The sequence below is a fragment of the Homo sapiens genome, chromosome 9 (assembly GCF_000001405.40).
Source record: "Homo sapiens chromosome 9, GRCh38.p14 Primary Assembly".
Classification (NCBI taxonomy): domain Eukaryota; kingdom Metazoa; phylum Chordata; class Mammalia; order Primates; family Hominidae; genus Homo; species Homo sapiens.
Window position 1 is genome coordinate 101,441,854 of NC_000009.12, and position 18,290 is coordinate 101,460,143.

The window sequence follows — 18,290 nt, forward strand, 5'->3', positions numbered from 1 at the left end:
GGCCAAGGCGGGTGGATCAGCCTGGCCAATATAATGAAAACGCATCTCTACTAAAAATGCAAAAATTAGTTGAGTGTGTTGGTGGGCGCCTGTATTTCCAGTTACTCAGGGGGCTGAGGCAGGAGAATCGCTTGAACCCGGGAGGCGGAGGTTGCAGTGAGCAGAGATAGGCGACTGCACTCCAGCTTGGGTGACAGAGCGAGACTGCATCTCAAAAAGAAGAAGGAGAAGAAGAAGAAGAAGGAGAAGGAGAAGGAGAAGGAGAAGGAGAGGAAGAGGAAGAGGAAGAGGAAGAGGAAGAAGAAGAAGAAGAAGAAGAAGAAGAAGAAGAAGAAGAAGAAGAAGAAGAAGAAGAAGAAATGTTTTCTGTTGAGAAGTGCTGTTGGTATGGATTATTTATTGACTCTTACCTAGAAATCTTCAGAATGCTGGTATGTATGGAAGAAACAGGTAGTTCTAATATCCTGCCTCTTTTCCTCCAGCTATTTGGATTTCCTGCATCTCACTTCAGCACCCTTTAGGAATGAAGAATGCCAGCCTGACCAAATCCAGAACTACACTTTCCTGGAAGCCTGGCTAAAAGTCCCAGACTGGCAAGGGGCAAGCAGCCAGCAGCGTGTGCGGGTGGCAGGCCTGTCAGTGGCCACCTCAGTGCCACCTGCTCTCACACAAAGTGAAGAATGGAGCCACTCCGCTTCCCAGGTTATTAATCCAGTCACCTACAAATTCAACTCTCTGCCCTTCAGAAGGTTCAGCTATAAACCTTCTTGGAGTGCCAATATAACTTAGTTATTAAGAATGTGGACTTTGAAGTCAGATCAAACTTGTTTCAAATTCCAGCCCAGAGCTTTTGGGCTGGGTTACTTTGGAAAAGTTCTCTAACCTTTTTGAACTTCAGTTTCCTCCTCAGCAAAAATAATAATAATAATAAAACGTACCCTACAACATTGTTGGAGGATTGGGTTGAATAATGAATCAAAGTGTTAAGCATATACCTAGCAAAGGTAAGTACCACATAAATAACACGTCCTGTGATGATCATTGTCACTATGCCTTTCTCCTTTCCACATTCTCCACATTCTTCTCTCCCTCTGTCACCAAAGAGAAGTCCTTTCAAAATTTTTGCTCCCACAGCATTCAATCTCATCTCATTATCTCCTGTGTCCTTCATCTGGAATCTTCCATCCCACTTCCACCCTCAAAAGATTTCTCCATTTATTATGTAGAAAATGAAGCTGGAGCCTGAGTTCATCTCAGAGGTTGTATACTCGCATCCAAGAAGAGTACCCCTGTAGAAGGCAGTGGGGAGCTACAAATAAAGAAAGACTTCATCCCCTGTTACATAAACCAAAGGTGGGTATAACTTACATTCAGAAAAGATGGAGAGAAGTAGAAGCACGTTTGAGGAAAATAGAGAAAATGGCAATATTATTTGTGGAAAGTGTAAAAAGGAATGAAGGAGGGAAGATAAATAAAGAGATAAGGCCTTGCACCCATGTTTCCTGAGTTAGAAGCAGATCGGGCAGCTGGAAGACCCAACCTTCCAGGCAGGCAGACAGCTGACCTCGTTAGCACCCCTCCGCCATGTCATTCAAGGTGTGTGGCTGGCCTGCACCAGAGCACGCCTGTCCTCCGTGGCACAGCTGACTCTTAGGCGTGCTAGATCCCCCACTGGGGTGCCAGATGGAGGTGTAAATAAGAGGCTGGAACAAGTTATCTCTGTGGCAGGGAGCCCAGGAAAATTCGTCCAATTGCTGGCACTCCAGCAGGAGGCTGCATGCTCAGTGATCATGACCAGGCAGCAGATGTCCTGGCTTCCTTGGAGGGGAGAAAAGGAGGGTATTCATGCTCTTGCAATTTATTTCCTACCCAGACCCAGGGCGGGCCTGCTCTTTTTGCCACTCCGTTTAATGGCTTTTCTTTGGGTCATTTGCCAAGTGAGAACAGAGACCCTCTGATCCGAAGGAGGAATGGAAAAGCTGTCAGTTAAAAAAAATGGGAAGAATAGAAAGGCAGTCATTTATTAAAAAATAATTATGTTTTTTACCATATGACCCAGGAATTCCACTCCTGGGTATCTACCCAAGAGAAATAAAAACATACATCCACGTAAACACACACCCTAGTATGCACAGCAGTATCATCCATAACAGCCAAAAAGAGGAAACAAACCAAATGTTCATCAACTGGCAAATGGATAAACAAAATGTGATATATCCATACCATGGAACATTATTGAGTCATAAAGAGGAATGACGTACTGATACAAGATACGACATGGATGAACCTTGAACACATTATGCTAAGTGAGAAAAGCCAGGCACAAAAACTCACATATTGTATGATTCCATTTATATACAATATCTAAAATATACAAATCCACAGAGACAGAAAATATATTAGTATTGCCTAGATCAGTTAGGGCAGAGGGAATGGGGAGTAACTGCTAATGTACATTGGATTTCTTTTGGAATGACAACATTTTTCTAAAATTAGATAGTGAAGCTGCTTGCTCGACTTTGTAAATCTGCTGAAGACCATTGGATTTTGTGCTTTAAATAGATGAATTTTATGATATGCAAATTATGTCTCATACAGCTGTTAAGTAAATGAATAAGTAAAAATATAATAATTATATTCTGGGATGTTGTGGTCAGAGAAAACAAGCAGCTACCTCTTGCTCACAGTGTGTGAAGGTAAATTTGCCAGTCATTTCTCCAGTGCCCTCTCCCCTCCTCCAACCCCAAAGGCATAGTCTCTGACATCTTCTTCCTCAAGATGCATGTACTCCCTTATCCATCCTGGACCTATGAGGGAAGCTGCCTATAGAGATTCTGCAAAAGTGAGGGTCCCTTTTGACTCAGGTCTAATAGGGAAGAGAAAGCAGGATCACACATAGGTATGTATAGCTCAGATCTCAGCTGGGGTCTCCTTGTCTTTTTAGATACAGAAAGGGCTGGCTCAAATCTTCATTCTACAACTTCCAGAAAGTTCAATGCTTTCCCCTAATTTGGGGGGAACTTCCCAAGGGAGTTATAATATTAATGTCACCTTGGCTCAGAGCTTCTCATTTCACTAACTCAGTTCAGTCAAGTACCTGGCTCATCACAGCAGACCCTTGTACCAGCCCTGCCAGTGCCATGATGGGAAATTTGGTTCCCTTTATTTGATTTCCATAAAACCCCAAAACAAACAAACAAACAAACAAAAATTTCACTTTCAAAAAGCCTTTATGTAGACATAACTAAAAGTTTACAAAGAGAAATGGGAATTACATGGTGGCAACAGATCAATTTAAAATTGAGCCTTAATCCTGTCAACTGATCATAGGAAGAGAAAAAGAAGACAGAAAATAAACAAAATTGAGCATTAGTCATCCTTATTTGTAGAAGTCCTTTGAAATACCACACCTTGTATGAGATACCATGTATGGTGTGTTCTATTCACTGCTTCAAACTCTGCTTCTCTTCTCTCCTTTCTCATCTCTCCTCCTCATCTATTTCCTCACAAATTCCACTCAGAGATCTGAGTTACTTTTTCTCCCCTGGGCAGCAGTCTTCAACTCACCTTTAAACTTTATATTTCCAAACAGATCAATGTACTGGCCTATTGTACAGGGTTATCTGCTCTGCTAGCAACAAGTTGACTCACAAAAACCGTTTTCTTCCTTTAACACGTTCCATATTCTTTAAACGGCACTTTTGGTATTGCATCACAATTTTAGTTTCTCTTTTAAGTATATTCCAAGGTTGTGTTGTGAGGCCACAGGAGAGGCAAAGGGGAATGCTATAAATGAGTTCAGAGGAAAGGCAGTCTCTTTTCCTCTGATACTGCAGGGAAGAATCAAAATAAGGAAACTGCAAACAGGTTGGGAATGTGTAGAGTGTTTCTGCTCCGAGATAGAACTCACAGTGTGTTTGTATGAAATGGAGGATGGAGTTGGATGCTGAGCTGTGATGAGAAGCAGTCCTTCTACATATCTGTTTTCTCCCCTGCCCCTTTGCCCTGTGACTTTGGGGGTGAAATAGACAAGAAAACACCAGAGAAGAATTAACAAAGGACAACAATTCCTTTATACTCAGATGATGTAATTTCGTTTTCTTGAGCTAGACATGACCAGAACAGACACTGGCCTTGTTAGCTAATCATTGCCAGGAAGAAAGGCAAGGGAAGATACAGGAGATTTTGAACCTGAAGCTATTTTTTAAATAGACATCCACCTTCTTTAAACTGGGTTATAAAACTCAAAGCCCACACAAGAAAAACACTTACACATTTGCTTGCTAAAATCAAGAATAACACTGCTTAAAATTAGGTAAGTATCAATGTTTTTATCGTAGGCATGTAGGAAATCTAGCCAAGACTAGAGCTACTTGGTTAGTAATATACAGACTATAAGTATCTGGTGTTTTAGGCATTCATTTGAAATAAAGTAAAGACAATTTTTGAAATGGAGTAAAACAATGCTTGTATCAGCTTCCACATGTGTGTCGTCGTCTGCTGAGTAGAGGCTGAATGGTCTGGCTCCTTAACTTTCATCAGACCAATGCTAGGGGAGAGTCTGAGCTTCACAATCAAGAAAGGCTTTGTGTTAATCTGTTTGGGTTGTGTATTAGTCTGTTCTCACGCTGCTAATAAAGACACACCCAAGACTGGGTAATTTATAAAGAAAAGAAGTTTAATTGACTTAGAGTTCAGCATGGCTGAGGAGGCCTCAGGAAACTTACAATCATGGCAGAAGGAAGAGCAAACACGTCCTGCTTCAAATGATGGCAGCAAGGAGAAGTGCCAAGCAAAAGGGGGAAAAGCCCCTTATAAAACCATCAGATCTCATGGGAATGCACTCACTATCATGAGAACAGCAGCATGGGGGTAGCTGCCCCCATGATTCAATTACCTCCTACCAGGTCTTTCCCATGACACATGGGGATTATGGGAACTACAATTCAAGATGAGATTTGAGTGGGGACACAGCTAAAAGGAATTGCTACAAAGGAATATCTGAGACTGGGTAATTTATAAAGAAAAGAGGTTTATTTCAGCTGACAGTTCTGCAGGCTGTACAGGCATGGCACCAACATCAGCTCAGCTTCTGGTGAGGGCCTCAGGAAGCTTTTTAGTCATAATAGAAGGCAAAGGGGGAGCCAGTATACCACATGGCAAGAGGGAGCAAGAGAGAGCAGGGGGAGGTCCCACACTCTTAAATAACCAGATCTTGAGTGAACTAGCTGAATGAGAACTCACTAATCACCAAGGAAGTGGTGCTAAGCTATTCATGAGGGATCTACCCCCATGATTTAACACTTCCCACCTAGCCCCACCTTCAGCATCGCAGATCACATTTCAACATGAAATCTGGAGGGGTCACACATCCAAATCATATCAGGCCTAAAATTCATTTTGGATGTTATCACCAAATGAGTTTTACACACAGTTATTGCTTCATGCATGGATTCAAAGCATTACTTTACTAAACGTATAAATCCAATTTATACCACAAGTTTTGGTAACTCTGGTTTTGCCATTTCTTCACTTTTATTATATTTACTGGAAACTTAAAAGTATGGAAGTAGCCTGTGTGTCCCTTGGCCTTTGAAAGGCCCTGTCTTTCACTTATCTTGATTGTTTATATACATATGTATCTTATATATGAATCACACACACACTTACATATATATATATATATATATGCACACAAATATCTTTATTCCACAGCAAAGGAAAATAAACTTGGCCTTAAGTTCCCTAATGATTTAGCAAACAATCACTGCAAAGAAATATTAGGGGAGGATTGCTTGAAGAAGATGCAGTCCATCTAGTTTGAATGATCTCAGAGGTATCAAGAATGAGAACCTTATATGCTTGTGCCTACACCTTTCCTACTGGAATCATTTTGGAGGAATAGCACTTGTGTGCTTTTGGTATGAAATATTAGGGGAGGATTGCTTGAAGAAGATGCAGTCCATCTAGTTTGAATGATCTCAGAGGTATCAAGAATGAGAACCTTATATGCTTGTGCCTACACCTTTCCTACTGGAATCATTTTGGAGGAATAGCACTTGCGTGCTTTTGGTATGACACCATCTGATTTGTCTGAAGGTCATGATCAGAAAAAAGTCTGTTCAACTTACCCTTGGGCTGTTGTCCAGTAATCTCTTCATAGGCTATGCTCTTTATGAAGTGCTCAGAGATCCCCGTCTGATTAGAAAATTAAGAATAGTTGTGCTATTCTTAACACTGTTTTATTGATTGCAGCTTTATGATGCATTTAGACATCTGAAAGAATATACTCCTCATAATCTCCTTCCAATATTTCTTGCTCTTATTACCTCTTAATTTTTTAAACACAGTTTAGAATGATTTCATGAAGTTCCCAATTAGATATTTTGATTGAAATTATACTAAACTTATAAACAAATTAGGAAATAATTGATATGTTAGTGAAACTTGCCATCAAGAAAAATAATATGCTTCTGTATTCACATCTTAATTTTTATAATTCACTAAATGTTTGTAGTTCTTTTGACAACTGGCCCTGTGCACTTCTTAAGTTTGTTTTAAGAAGATTTCTGTTATGTTAAATTGGACATTTTCTTATTATATTTTTAATCTATTAATGCTGTTGGAAAATCTATTTTTTTATTATAGGAAAGCTTGAGCCTAGAAGTTTGAGACCAGCCTGGGCAACATGATGAAACCCTGTCTCTACTAAAAATGCAAAAATTAGCCAGGCGTGGTGGCACATGCCTGTAGCCCCAGCTACTTGGAGGCTGAGGCAGGAGAATCGCTTGAGCCCGGGAGGTGTGGCTGCAGTGAGCCGAGCTCACGCCATTGCACTCCAGTCTAGGCAACGGAGTGAGACTCTGTCTCAAAACAAACAAACAAACAAACAGGGAAGAACAAAAAAAGAAAGAAAAAAGATACAAAGGAAGGAAGGAGAGAGCGAGGGAGAGAAAGAAAGGGCAAGCAAACAAGAAAGAAGAAAGAAAGAAAGAAAGAAAAAGAAAGAGAGAGAAAGAAAAAGAAAGAAAGGAAGAAAGAGAGAGAAAGAAGAAAGAAAGTTGAAAGAAAGGAAGAAAGACGGGAAGGAAGGAAAGAAAGAAAGAAAAAGAAAGAAAGAAAGAAGGAAGGAAGGAAGAAAGAAAGAGGAAAGCAAGAAAGAAAGAAAAGAAAAGAAAAGAAAGAAAAGAAAAGAAAAGAAAAGAAAAGAAAAGAAAGAAAAGAAAAGAAAAGAGAAGAAAAGAAAAGAAAAGAAAAGAAGGCAGGTGGGCGGGCGGGCAGGCAGGCGACTGACAATTTTAAAACATTAATAACAGCTGAACCGCTGTGGCGGCAGCTGCTCTGGCCGGTGCGAGGCAGCGGCGCCCGGCGCCTGCAGGAGGTGCTGGCGGCCCAGGTTGGAGGCGGGGACACAGTCAGAGCCGGGTGGGGCATGGAGGGCCGAGGTGGGCTATCTGTTTAGGCCGGGACGGGGGTGCAGGGCTAGGGCGGGGACCCTGTCCCGACCGGGTCACTCTCGTGGGAAGAGGGCGGGCGCTGTGTCCGGCAGTCAGAACAAGCGGCTGCGAAGGAGAAACGAAGCGCACAGAACCGTGAGCTCCACAGGGAACGGACTGATCCTTTGCTAGTCCCCGATGCCCGCACTAAACCTGTCACAAGGCGGCGCACGGGTACCTGGTGGCCGAAGAGGCAGCGGTGTCCAGTGAGTTGGATTCTGGAGGCGGTGGGAGCCAACACTTGCTGCGCATCAGTGAGCAGAGCCACAGTCAAATCCATGTGACCTTCCAAGAGCAAGCACAATTGTCCTGTGCAAATCCCAGACGGATGTTCCAGAAAAGAGAAATAGCAACATAAAAACCATGTCTCCAGGCAGCTTACTAAAAAGTATAGTTCATAAGTAACCATAATTCTGGGCAACAGCACAGTCTGCTGAACTAACCTTACAAGTACAATAAAATGTGTCACCTTAGCGTATTAAAGCAACATATTATCAGGCAAAGAACAGGTGCTCAGACATATATAAATATCTCCAACAACAAACGGAAAATGCATCTTTATAAAAATCATTTCCAACATCATCAAACAGCATAAAATATTTATAAACAAACCTAGCAAATAGGTAAGATCTCTATGGAGAAAATTAGAAAATCATTTTAATTTTAAAACTTAAATATAATTAAAAATGTAGTACCATAGTCACTCTGATCTCATTTCAAGTGCTTACTAGCCATGTGTTGCTAGTGGCAAGAGTGTTGCACAGTGCAGTATTAGACCTCTAAGGTTATAGAAAACTAAGGAAGTTTTTTAGTTTGTTGCGGAGAAGTATGATATGGTTATCAATAAAACTTCCAAGCCTAAAAATATATTACATTTACATAAAGTTCTGTGAGGGATATGGAACCGAATAATGTAAATGTTCTGAACTTTAACATGTAATTTTCTTTAATGGGTATTTAATCATTATCTTGTTTAAGATTCCATGATTTGTACTTAAAAGGGTCACCAATGTTAAAACATACTGGATATGACATCCTTTGGAATTATTTACATTTATAATAGAACATAGATACTCATTTACAATGCGAAAGTGTATATGGTCTCTCAAAATTATTTTTGAGAAGAATGCAGGTTTTTTTGTTTTTGTTTTGTTTTGGTTTTTTTTTTTTTTAGAGATGGGGGCTTGCTATGTTGCTCAGGTTGGAGTACAGTGGCTGTTCACAAACACAGTCATTGTGCACTACAGCCCCAAACTCCTGTGAGTGACCCTCTTGCATCAGGCTCTGGAGTAGCTAGGACTACAGGCTCAGGCCACCACTCCCAGCTTGAAGACTGCCGTCTTAAGGGTACTTAATAATTTTTTTTCAGTGGCTATATATATTTTAAATGTTTTATCTGTCAAAAAGAAAAAAAAAGAACAGATGTTGAGTATTATCAAAGTCTTTGGGGCCATTACAAATAATTTTTTTGTTTTTCACTGCTAATATGAAGATTTTGATATCATTAATTACTTTATATCATTTGTATCCTTGGAATATTACTTGATTATAAACCAAGGTCCCATGGAATTCAGTCCTGCCATGAACACATGCAAAGTCATGTAATCAAAGTAATGAAAAAATAATTTAAAAGCATATTTGTGTTTCTCAAGGGACGTTAACAAAGATCAGATTCATAAACAGAGTAACACTTCTTTATACCCACTTTTCTTTGATTTTTCACTCCATAAATACTCCAGAGTCTCTCACTATCTCACGCCCTCCCTTTCGTCTCTTCCAAAGGTCACCCAGATAAGTCTTTAGAACAGATTATTTTCGGTACTCCTTCCCTGTGCCACATCACATCTCTTTTCCACAGGAAATTGAAGCCAACACTAGTATTTCTGCTCACAAGCTGCACCAGGGCTCCTGAAAACAGCTGGAGGACATGGAAACTCTATGCCTCCATTTGTCTGTAATTCTTTACAGAGAGAACTTAAGACCCTCTAAGAAATGTAGTTGTTGTCTCACTCTGGCTGCTTTTCTCAAAAAATCCTCTTGGAAAATTCCTTAAGAATAAAACCATCTATCTTTTTGCTGGACTGAAATTTCCTTGGCCAAGCTGTATTATCATCTCTATATATCATATACATGAGATGATATATATATGTACATAGATATACACACACACACACACACAGATATGTTTTGGCTGTGTCCCCCCCCAAATCTCCTCTTGAATTCCCACAAGTGGGAAGGACCTGATGGGAGATAATTGAATCATGGGGGCAGGTCTTTCCCATGCTGCTCTCATAGTGCAAATAAGTCTCATGATATCTGATGGTTATCTAAGGGGCAGTTTTCCTGCACAAGCTCTCTGTTTGCCTTCTGCCATCCATGTAAGATGTGACTTGCTCCTCCTTGCCTTCTGCCATGATTGTGAGGCGTCTCCAGCCACGTGGAACTGTAAGTCCATTAAACCGCTTTCTTGTATAAATTACCCAGTCTCGGGTATGTCTTTATCAGCAGTGTGAAAATGAACTAATACAGTAAATTGATACCAGTAGAGTGGGGCGCTGCTGAAAACATACCTGAAAATGTGGAAATGACTTTGGAACTGGGTAACAGGCAGAGATTGGAACACTTTGGAGGGCGCAGAAAAGACAAGAAAATGTGGGAAAGTGTGGAACTCCCTAGAGACTTGTCGAATGGCTTTGACAAAAATGCTGGTAATGATATGGACAATGAAATCCAGGCTAAGGTGGTCTCAGATGGACATGAAGAACTTTTTGAGAACTGGAGCAAAGGTGACTCTTGTTATGTTTTAGCAAAGTGACTAGCAGCATTTTTCCCCTGCCCTAGAGATTCATGGAACTTTGAACTTGAGAGAGATGATTTAGGGTATCTGGCAGAAGAAATTTATAAGCAGCAAAGCATGCAAGAGGTGACTAGGGTAATGTTAAAGGCATTCGGTTTTAAAAGGGAAACAGGGCATAGAGGTTCAGAAAATTTGCAGCCTGATAATGTGATAGAAAAGAAAATCCCATTTTCTGAGGAGAAATTCAAGCCAGCTGCAGAAATTTGCATAAGTAACAAGGAGCCAAATGTTAATCACCAAGACAAAGGGGAAATGTCTCAAGGGCATGTCAGAGGTCTTCACGGCAGCCCCTCCCATCACAGGTCGGGAGGCCTAGGAAGAAAAGTTGGTTTCATTGGCTGGGTCCAGGTCCCCCCTGCCCTGTGCAGCCTAGGGACTTGGTACCCTGCATTCTAGCCACTCCATCCATGGCTAAAAGGGGACAATGTACAGCTTGGGCTGTTGCCTCAGACTTTGGAAGCCACAAGCCTTGGCAGTTTCCATGTGGTGTTGAGCCTGCAGGTGCATAGAAGTGAAGAATTGGGGTTTGGGAACCTCTGCCTAGATTTCAAAAGATGTATAGAAATGCCTGGATGCCCAGGCAGAAGTTTGTGGCAGGGGTGGGGCCCTCATGGAGAACCTCTGCTAGGGCAGTGCAGAAGGGAAATGTGGGGTCAGAGTCCCCATACAGAGTCCCTACTGGACAGCTCAAGTGGAGCTGTGAGAAAGGGCCACCATCCTCCAGACCCCATAATGGTAGATCCACTGACAGCTTGCACAGTGCGCCTGGAAAAACTGCAGACATTCAACATCAGCCAATGAAGGCAGCCAGGAGGGAGGCTGTACCCTGCAAAGCTACAGGGGCAGAGTTGCCCAAGACCATGGGAACTCATCTCTTACATTAGTTTGACCCAGATGTGAGACATGAAGTCAAAGGAGATCATTTTGGAGCTTTAAGATTTGACTGACCTGCTGGATTTCGGACTTGCATGGGGCCTGTAGCCCCAATGTTTTGGCCAGTTTGGAATGGCTGTATGTACCCAATGCCTGTATCCCCATTGTATCTAGGAAGTAACTAACTTGCTTTTGATTTTACAGGCTCATAGGCAGAAGAGATTTGCCTTGTTTCAGATGAGACTTTGAACTATGGACTTTTGAGTTAATGCTGAAGTGAGTTAAGACTTTGGAGGACTGTTGGGAAGGCATGATTGGTTTTGAAATGTGAGGACATGAGACTTGGGAGGGGTCAGGGTGGAATGATATGGTTTGGCTGCATCCCCACCCAAATCTCATCTTGAATTTCCATGTGTTGTGGGAGGGACCTGTTAGGAGGTAATTGAATCATGGGGGCAAGTCTTTCGCATGCTGTTCTTGTGACAGTGAATAAGTCTCACAAGATCTGATAGTTTAAAAAGGGGAATTTCTCTGCACAAGTTCTTTCTTCTCTTGTCTGCTGCCATGTGAGACATCCTTTTACCTTCTGCCATAATTGTGAGGCCTCCCCAGCCATGTAGAAATATAAGTCCAATAAACCTCTTTCTTCTGTAAATTGCCCAGTTTGGGGTATGTCTTTATCAGCAGTGTGAAAATGGACTAATACACACACACACACTCACACACACATATATACACACACACACATACAGTTTATGTCACTATTATACCTCATTGTAAATGAATAACTAGTCTTCTGGATCTATGTTTTTATCTTATGACCCTGGTTAAGATGATTCACTCTGAGAAATGTATCTGTTCTGAGCCTATAAATAAAATCCAGATATGATGCTGCAGGGCTGTAGTTCAAACCATATGTCATGAGAAATTTACCCTGTGAGGCCTGTAGTCTTGTCCTTTTGATCCCTGGATAAACCCAGACACTACCCCCATAGTTGAAAAAATGCCACTAAATTGCATTATATGTAGGGTTTTGCATTCTGCTTTTTTGTGTTCCATTACATCTTGAGCATTTTCCTATGACATAATCATAGAAAAACCATATCTGAGAATGTAATTTTTAATAGGTCTATAATATTCTAAGATATATATATATACATATATATATGCCTTTATTTATTTGACTGGTAGTGTGACAAGTCCCCCACCAGGATACTTAAGGGTATATGTCTGCTGCCTGAACCCTGAAGACTGGGCAGTGACTCACAGTCATGATGCCCTGCAGAGAACTAAACAAGTGTCCCTGAAAACCCAAATATCCCGGAGAGTATCTGAGAACCTACCAAGAAAAACAGTCTCATTGCTCAAACACAGCAGGCAAAGAGCCAGAAATTAGCTTAAAAGCAGTTTAGAGATGGGAGGTGGTGCGGATCTCGAGAGCTGTCCCGCCACCATCCAGGAGTGCCCTGTGCATAAGTCCTAATAAACTCATCTACTCGTTAAGCTGGACTCGTTCAAGTCATTCTTTGGTCTCTTCATTCCTTCTCAGTTTGGAGGGAACATTAAAGTTCCAAGTTTTTCTTGTAACAAACCAACTTCTGTTATTGGAAGTCTGCCTATTTCTAATTGTTTGCTGTTATTATACATAAAGATGCAATGAATAACCTTATAGGTAAAGCTTTTTATACACCTCTGCTTTTTTCATTCATAAACTTCTAGGACCAGAAATATTAGATCAAATTGAATTAATGCTGTGGCCAACTGCAAATTGTTCCCCAATATCCATTTTCCCCTTCTAAAGTAGTAGAGTTTTAGCTGGGTCTATAGCTACGTCGTTAATGATATTTCTATATAGCCAGCCTGGCAGCTAGATGTGCCTGTGTGACAGGTCTGGCTAGTGGGATGTGAGTGTAATGAAATGATGTGGGCCCATTAAAGAATTATGCTTTGCCAGGCATGGTGGCTCATGCCTGTAATTCCAGCACTTTGGGAGGCTGAGGCGGGAGGATCACGAGGTCAGGAGTTCAAGACCAGCCTGACCAACACGGTGAAACCCCATCTCTAGTAAAAATACAAAAATTAGCCTGGTGTGATGGTGCACACCTGTAATCCCAGCTACTCAGGAGGCTCAGGCAAGAGAATCGCTTGAACACAGGAGGCGAGTTTGCAGTGAGCAGAGATCGCGCCACTACACTCCAGCCTGGGTGACAGAGTGAGACTCTGTCTCGAAAAACAAAAACAAACAAACAAACAAAAAGAATTATGCTCAATTCCCTGTCATTGTTGTTTTTTCCCCAGCTCTTTACTGGTGAGAAGATAGCAAAAGCTGAAGCAGACACAGAATCCACAAGTGGAAAATACAGCAGTGCCATTAAAGGTAATAAAAGATAAAGTTTATCTTTCTTCCAAGCTCTTTATTTTAATTTCTTATAGGATTTTTGTTACTTTTTAATGTTGTTTTAAGTAAAGAAGACTAAAAGTTTAAATCAGTATAAATTTTCATTTTTATATTGTGCCACACCCATTTTAAATGCAAATATAAGAGCACTTAACTCGTGTCGAATCACAAAAATTACAATTTGTATTTTGTGGTTCATACATGGATATGTAGTTCATTCTTACCAGAAGAGTAGGAACAATGCACACACAAAAAATTCAACTGTTTTTATTTCACTGCTTGATAAAATATGTTCTATCAACATGCTTTGCCTTCTACCTACTGATGAGTAAGGAAGGACTGACAGGAAAAGGAACTACAGGTTACCCTATTGTTCCCTTTCTGTGTTATTTTCAAAGTAAGTTCCTGGCTGATACAGGGAAGTAGCACAAGTAATAAAGGATGTGGTGGGGTTCCTTTGTTGTTCATGTTTCTAACAATGCCATTGCTTTCTTTCTGGAACAGAAGCAAGTCTAGTTTGAATGGAATGCTTGGCCTTTTGGGATCTGTCAGTACTCTCTCCCAGACCCCTGTTAGTCATAGACATAACACACTTAACTTGTACTCACTTGGAGTCTCCCCAAACTCCCATGCATCGTGGGTCTACTGGGATTCTGTGGTCAGAGAGCATTGCCGTTACTACATTCAAACATGGTGGCATGACATGATATACCTACTGTGAATGACAGGTGTCATACAAAGGAAGGACAGATGCACCTACTGTGTATTCCTCTGTTTATGTGCATGCTTCATTGTCCCATTGGATTTGACTTACAAAATACAAATTCAAAGATGAAATTATGAAGAATTTCAAGATGGCAGCAGCAGAGCATTAGGCTACACATTGGGCCCTTCTGATTGTGGGGCTCTGTGTGACTGCACAAGACAAACCCTCATAAAGCCAGCTCTGGGTGGCGGAGCCCTGGACTGCCTGCCTACTGGATGTTAAATGAGATTGAAATAAATTTTGACCTAGTTTAAGCTGTTGTATTTTGAGGTCCCTTTTATACACTTTGCATCCTGACTTATGAAAACACTTTTAGTTCTCAAAACGTACTGCCAATTGCATAACAAAGAGACTATGTCCCTATGTTTAGTTAACACCCCCATGAGCAGTATATGACCACAAATGTTTCCCTCTGCTCTTGCTATTGTCTCTATTTTGATATTTCAACAGCATGCCCAATTCAAAATGCCCCAAACCAAACTCATCTCTCCTCCAATATCAAACACAGACACAATATCAAACACAGCAACTAATATTTATTTAGCTTTTAACATGTACCAAGCGTTTTGCAGGCTTATTTCATTTATTAGGTATCATCATTCATTGTGGCCATTTTCCAGATGAGGAAATGGAAGCTTATGTAACTTACTGAAGGTAATACTGAGCTGAGATATGATTTCAGTATTTATGGCTCCAAAGCCTATGAGCATACCACTTGTCTCTCCTTTTCTATGATGGCAAAATAATTCCTAAAACAATGGTGGTGTGATTGGGAAAAGAAATGTTTTTCTTTACATCTTGCAGCAAATCAATGTCTACAATAAATTCAGAATTCTAGTATCCTGTCAGATCACTCTGTTCCCATCATTTCTACCATTGCCAACACACCCTGAAAACTAGTGTATTCACCTGGGAGAGTTTGCTCAGGGAAGCGAGGGTTTTTAAAAATCCCCCTAGTGACCTCTTGTGGCTGATGGACACCCTGCTGAGACCCTGCCTCTGGAATCTACCTGGCTTGCTGCTTCATGTTCACCCCTCCCCGGGCTACAGAAAAAGGGCTCCAAGGAAATCAGAGTTAGGAAATGGGTCGTCCCTGGTTTCAAACAAAGGGCATCATTCCAATATGTGTCAAAAATAAGCTCAGAAAATTTGTAAGAGAGATGGGTTTTCTGTTTCCTGGACTTGCCTTTCATATCTTTTTTCTTTCTTTCTTTCTTGCATCCTCTCTCATTTTTCTTAATTTAGGTGAGGAGAAAATGTTGTAATAACATGTAAATCAGATTAGATAAATAATGATGCTGTAACAAGCCTGGTGGCATAATAGTATATACGAAGGTGTTTACTGAAGTAGTGATTTTAACAGAAAATTTATCTATCAATCTATCTATCTATCTGAAGGAGATTTTAAGTGATTGTATTACCTTTATACCGTGAAATACTACAAAGCCATTAAAATGTATATATGAATACACACTACAGACATACAGACATACACACACATACAGGTGAGGAAAAGGGTGCAGGTAAAGAAACTAAGTTACAAAACAACTTGCATGTTATCCCTTTTTTGTAACACTGGATGTATGCTTCAATGTAAAGAGAAGATAAATTCACCAAAATATTAACTATGGTGATCATCTCAGAGTGGTGGAATTACAGAATTTTTTTTGAGACTGAGTCTTGCTCTATCGCCCAGGCTGGAATGCAGTGGCATGATCTCGGCTCACTGCAACCTCCGTCTCCCAGGTTCAAGCAATTCTCCTGCCTCAGCCTCCTGAGTAGCTGGGATTACAGGCGCGCACTACCACGCCCGGCTAATTTTTGTATGTTTTAGTAGAGACAGGGTTTCACGATGTTGGCTGGGCTGGTCTCAAATTCCTGACCTCAAGTGATCTGCCCGCCTTGGCCTCCTAAATTGCTGCAATTACAGGCATGAGCCACTGCGCCTGGCCAAGGAATTACAGATTTTTAAAAAATTATTTACAGTTTTCTGTATTGCAGTGGTTCTCAACTTAGTACATTAACAACCTATGAAAAATCTGAATGCTCAGCCCACTCTAGACAAATTAAGTCAGAACTACTGGAAGTGAACCCAGGTTCTAGTAATTTTTTAAATTACCCAGATGATTCAATGTGCAATCAAGCTTGAGAATGAGTATATTGTTTGAATGCTTTACAATCAGTGATCATGTTATAAAGCAGAAAGAAGGGAGAGCCAGAAGAAGTTATCTTCATTTTGCTAATTTATGTGCAGTGTGCATGTGTGTATACTGTGTATGCAGTGTGCATGTGTGGCGGTTGCAGACAAACTAAGGCTAAAGCTGGTAAAAATCCAAAGGAACACAGTAAAGTCACCTAGTTGATCATGAAATCTGGTCAGAAAAACCTGGCTTTGTTTCTTTGTTCTAATACTTCCTGGCTATGTGACCTTAAGCAGCTCACTTCACCTGTTTGAATGTCCATTTTCTTTTCTAGTAAGAGTAAAAGGGAAATTCTATTCCCATAGAATTGTAGGATTCAGTGTCATATTGCATGAACAAGGGCTATGTAAGTTGCTAGTTATAATATGTGGTGGAGTAAAGAAGTAGAAAAGAAAGCAGGAGAAATAACTGAGCACTGAAAGACAAAATATTAACATTCCAGGAATGTTAATATTTTTTGTTTCTCCTGAATGCTTTATTTCCCTAACAAACATAGTTGCTGAGGGCCCGCTTTGCACCAGACACCATTTTAAGGGATAGAAGAGAAAACCTAATGACAGTCTGATTGCCGTCAAGAGGCTCACATGTGAAAGGGAATGAGGAGCTGCAACAAATAGCACAATGCGGTAAGTACTGTAAAGACGTGTGCCCAAGGCAGTAAGAGGCGCCAGTGCCTCTTTCAGAGAAGGGGAGGCAAGACTTGTGAAGCCTACAGAGAGCTAAGATCAGGAAATACTGGCTACATGCTTTGTTCTCTAGGGGGAGCTCAAGGCTTTCTCCTTTGATATCTGAATGGAATCAGTACTTCCAGTGAGAAGGGTGTATGTAGATAGATAAGTTGAACTGTGTTAGGATAAATGCTCCAATGCCACTTGATCTTGGAGTTCTTTCTTGTTAGGTATTTTCTATTGAATGGCGTCTTCCTTTGCTCCCGTGAAGCTGGTTCTATGGAAAGACATTGGGTTATCCCTCCCAGTTAAAAATGTTGCTCCCTCCACTTAGAAGACTAAGGAAGAACCAGAGTGAAGGAAGCCCCATGGGCAGGAAGAGGACTCATTTGGGCTCAAGACATTCAGTCCAACCTAGCTCACAAGGATGGATGAGATCATGATTCGGGACCATAACTTGTCACTTGTGCACATACTCTAAACGGTGGCGTTTTTCAAGGTATTGAAAGGAGGTGGCAGGATAGGATTAAGAAATTTGATCCAGACAGGCTTATCAAATTCACTACAACCAACAGATGGTTCTAGATTTTTTTTTTTTCATTAATGTTTCATGACTATGTGCTCTCGATTTGAAGTTTCAAGGTCCTCTTGAAGTTTTTTTTGTTTGTTTTTTTAGACAGGGTCTTGCTCTGTCACCCAGTGCAGTGGTGTGATCATCATGGCTCAATGCAGCCTCTTACTCCTGGGCTCAAGTGATCCTCCCACTTCAGCCTCCCAAAGCATTGGGATTACAAGCATGAGCCACACACACCTGGCTCAGAGTCCTCTTGAATCTGGCAAAAACTTGATTTGGAATTTTCTAAAATTTCTCTTATTTGTTGTAGCAACTGTATTTCATGGGAAGATATTTCTCTGATAGATCGATGCTCTTCTTTTTTATCTCTTTGTATCACCTATAAATGCTCCCATTTGCACACTCTTAAAGAAGTAAGCTTAGGATAGTTTCTTTTTTTTTTTTTTTTAGACGGAGT

General features: G+C 40.9%; 1 long non-coding RNA gene across 1 annotated transcript, besides 2 other annotated features; it reads left to right on the forward strand.

Moving 5' to 3' along the window:
* The first annotated feature begins 289 nt into the window (after positions 1-289).
* LOC105376184 (uncharacterized) lies at positions 290-17,236 on the forward strand. Its single transcript, XR_001746862.2, has 4 exons — positions 290-1,004; positions 1,227-1,353; positions 13,525-13,603; positions 17,088-17,236. It is a non-coding gene; the product is annotated as an uncharacterized LOC105376184 (long non-coding RNA).
* Positions 7,263-7,452: a silencer, noted in NCBI's record as "silent region_20141". NCBI's record gives its function as "represses an Ori minimal core promoter by ATAC-STARR-seq in GM12878 lymphoblastoid cells {active_cell/tissue: GM12878}" and the evidence as "EXISTENCE:reporter gene assay evidence [ECO:0000049][PMID:35858748]".
* Positions 7,663-7,752: a silencer, noted in NCBI's record as "silent region_20142". NCBI's record gives its function as "represses an Ori minimal core promoter by ATAC-STARR-seq in GM12878 lymphoblastoid cells {active_cell/tissue: GM12878}" and the evidence as "EXISTENCE:reporter gene assay evidence [ECO:0000049][PMID:35858748]".
* Positions 17,237-18,290: the final 1,054 nt, after the last annotated feature.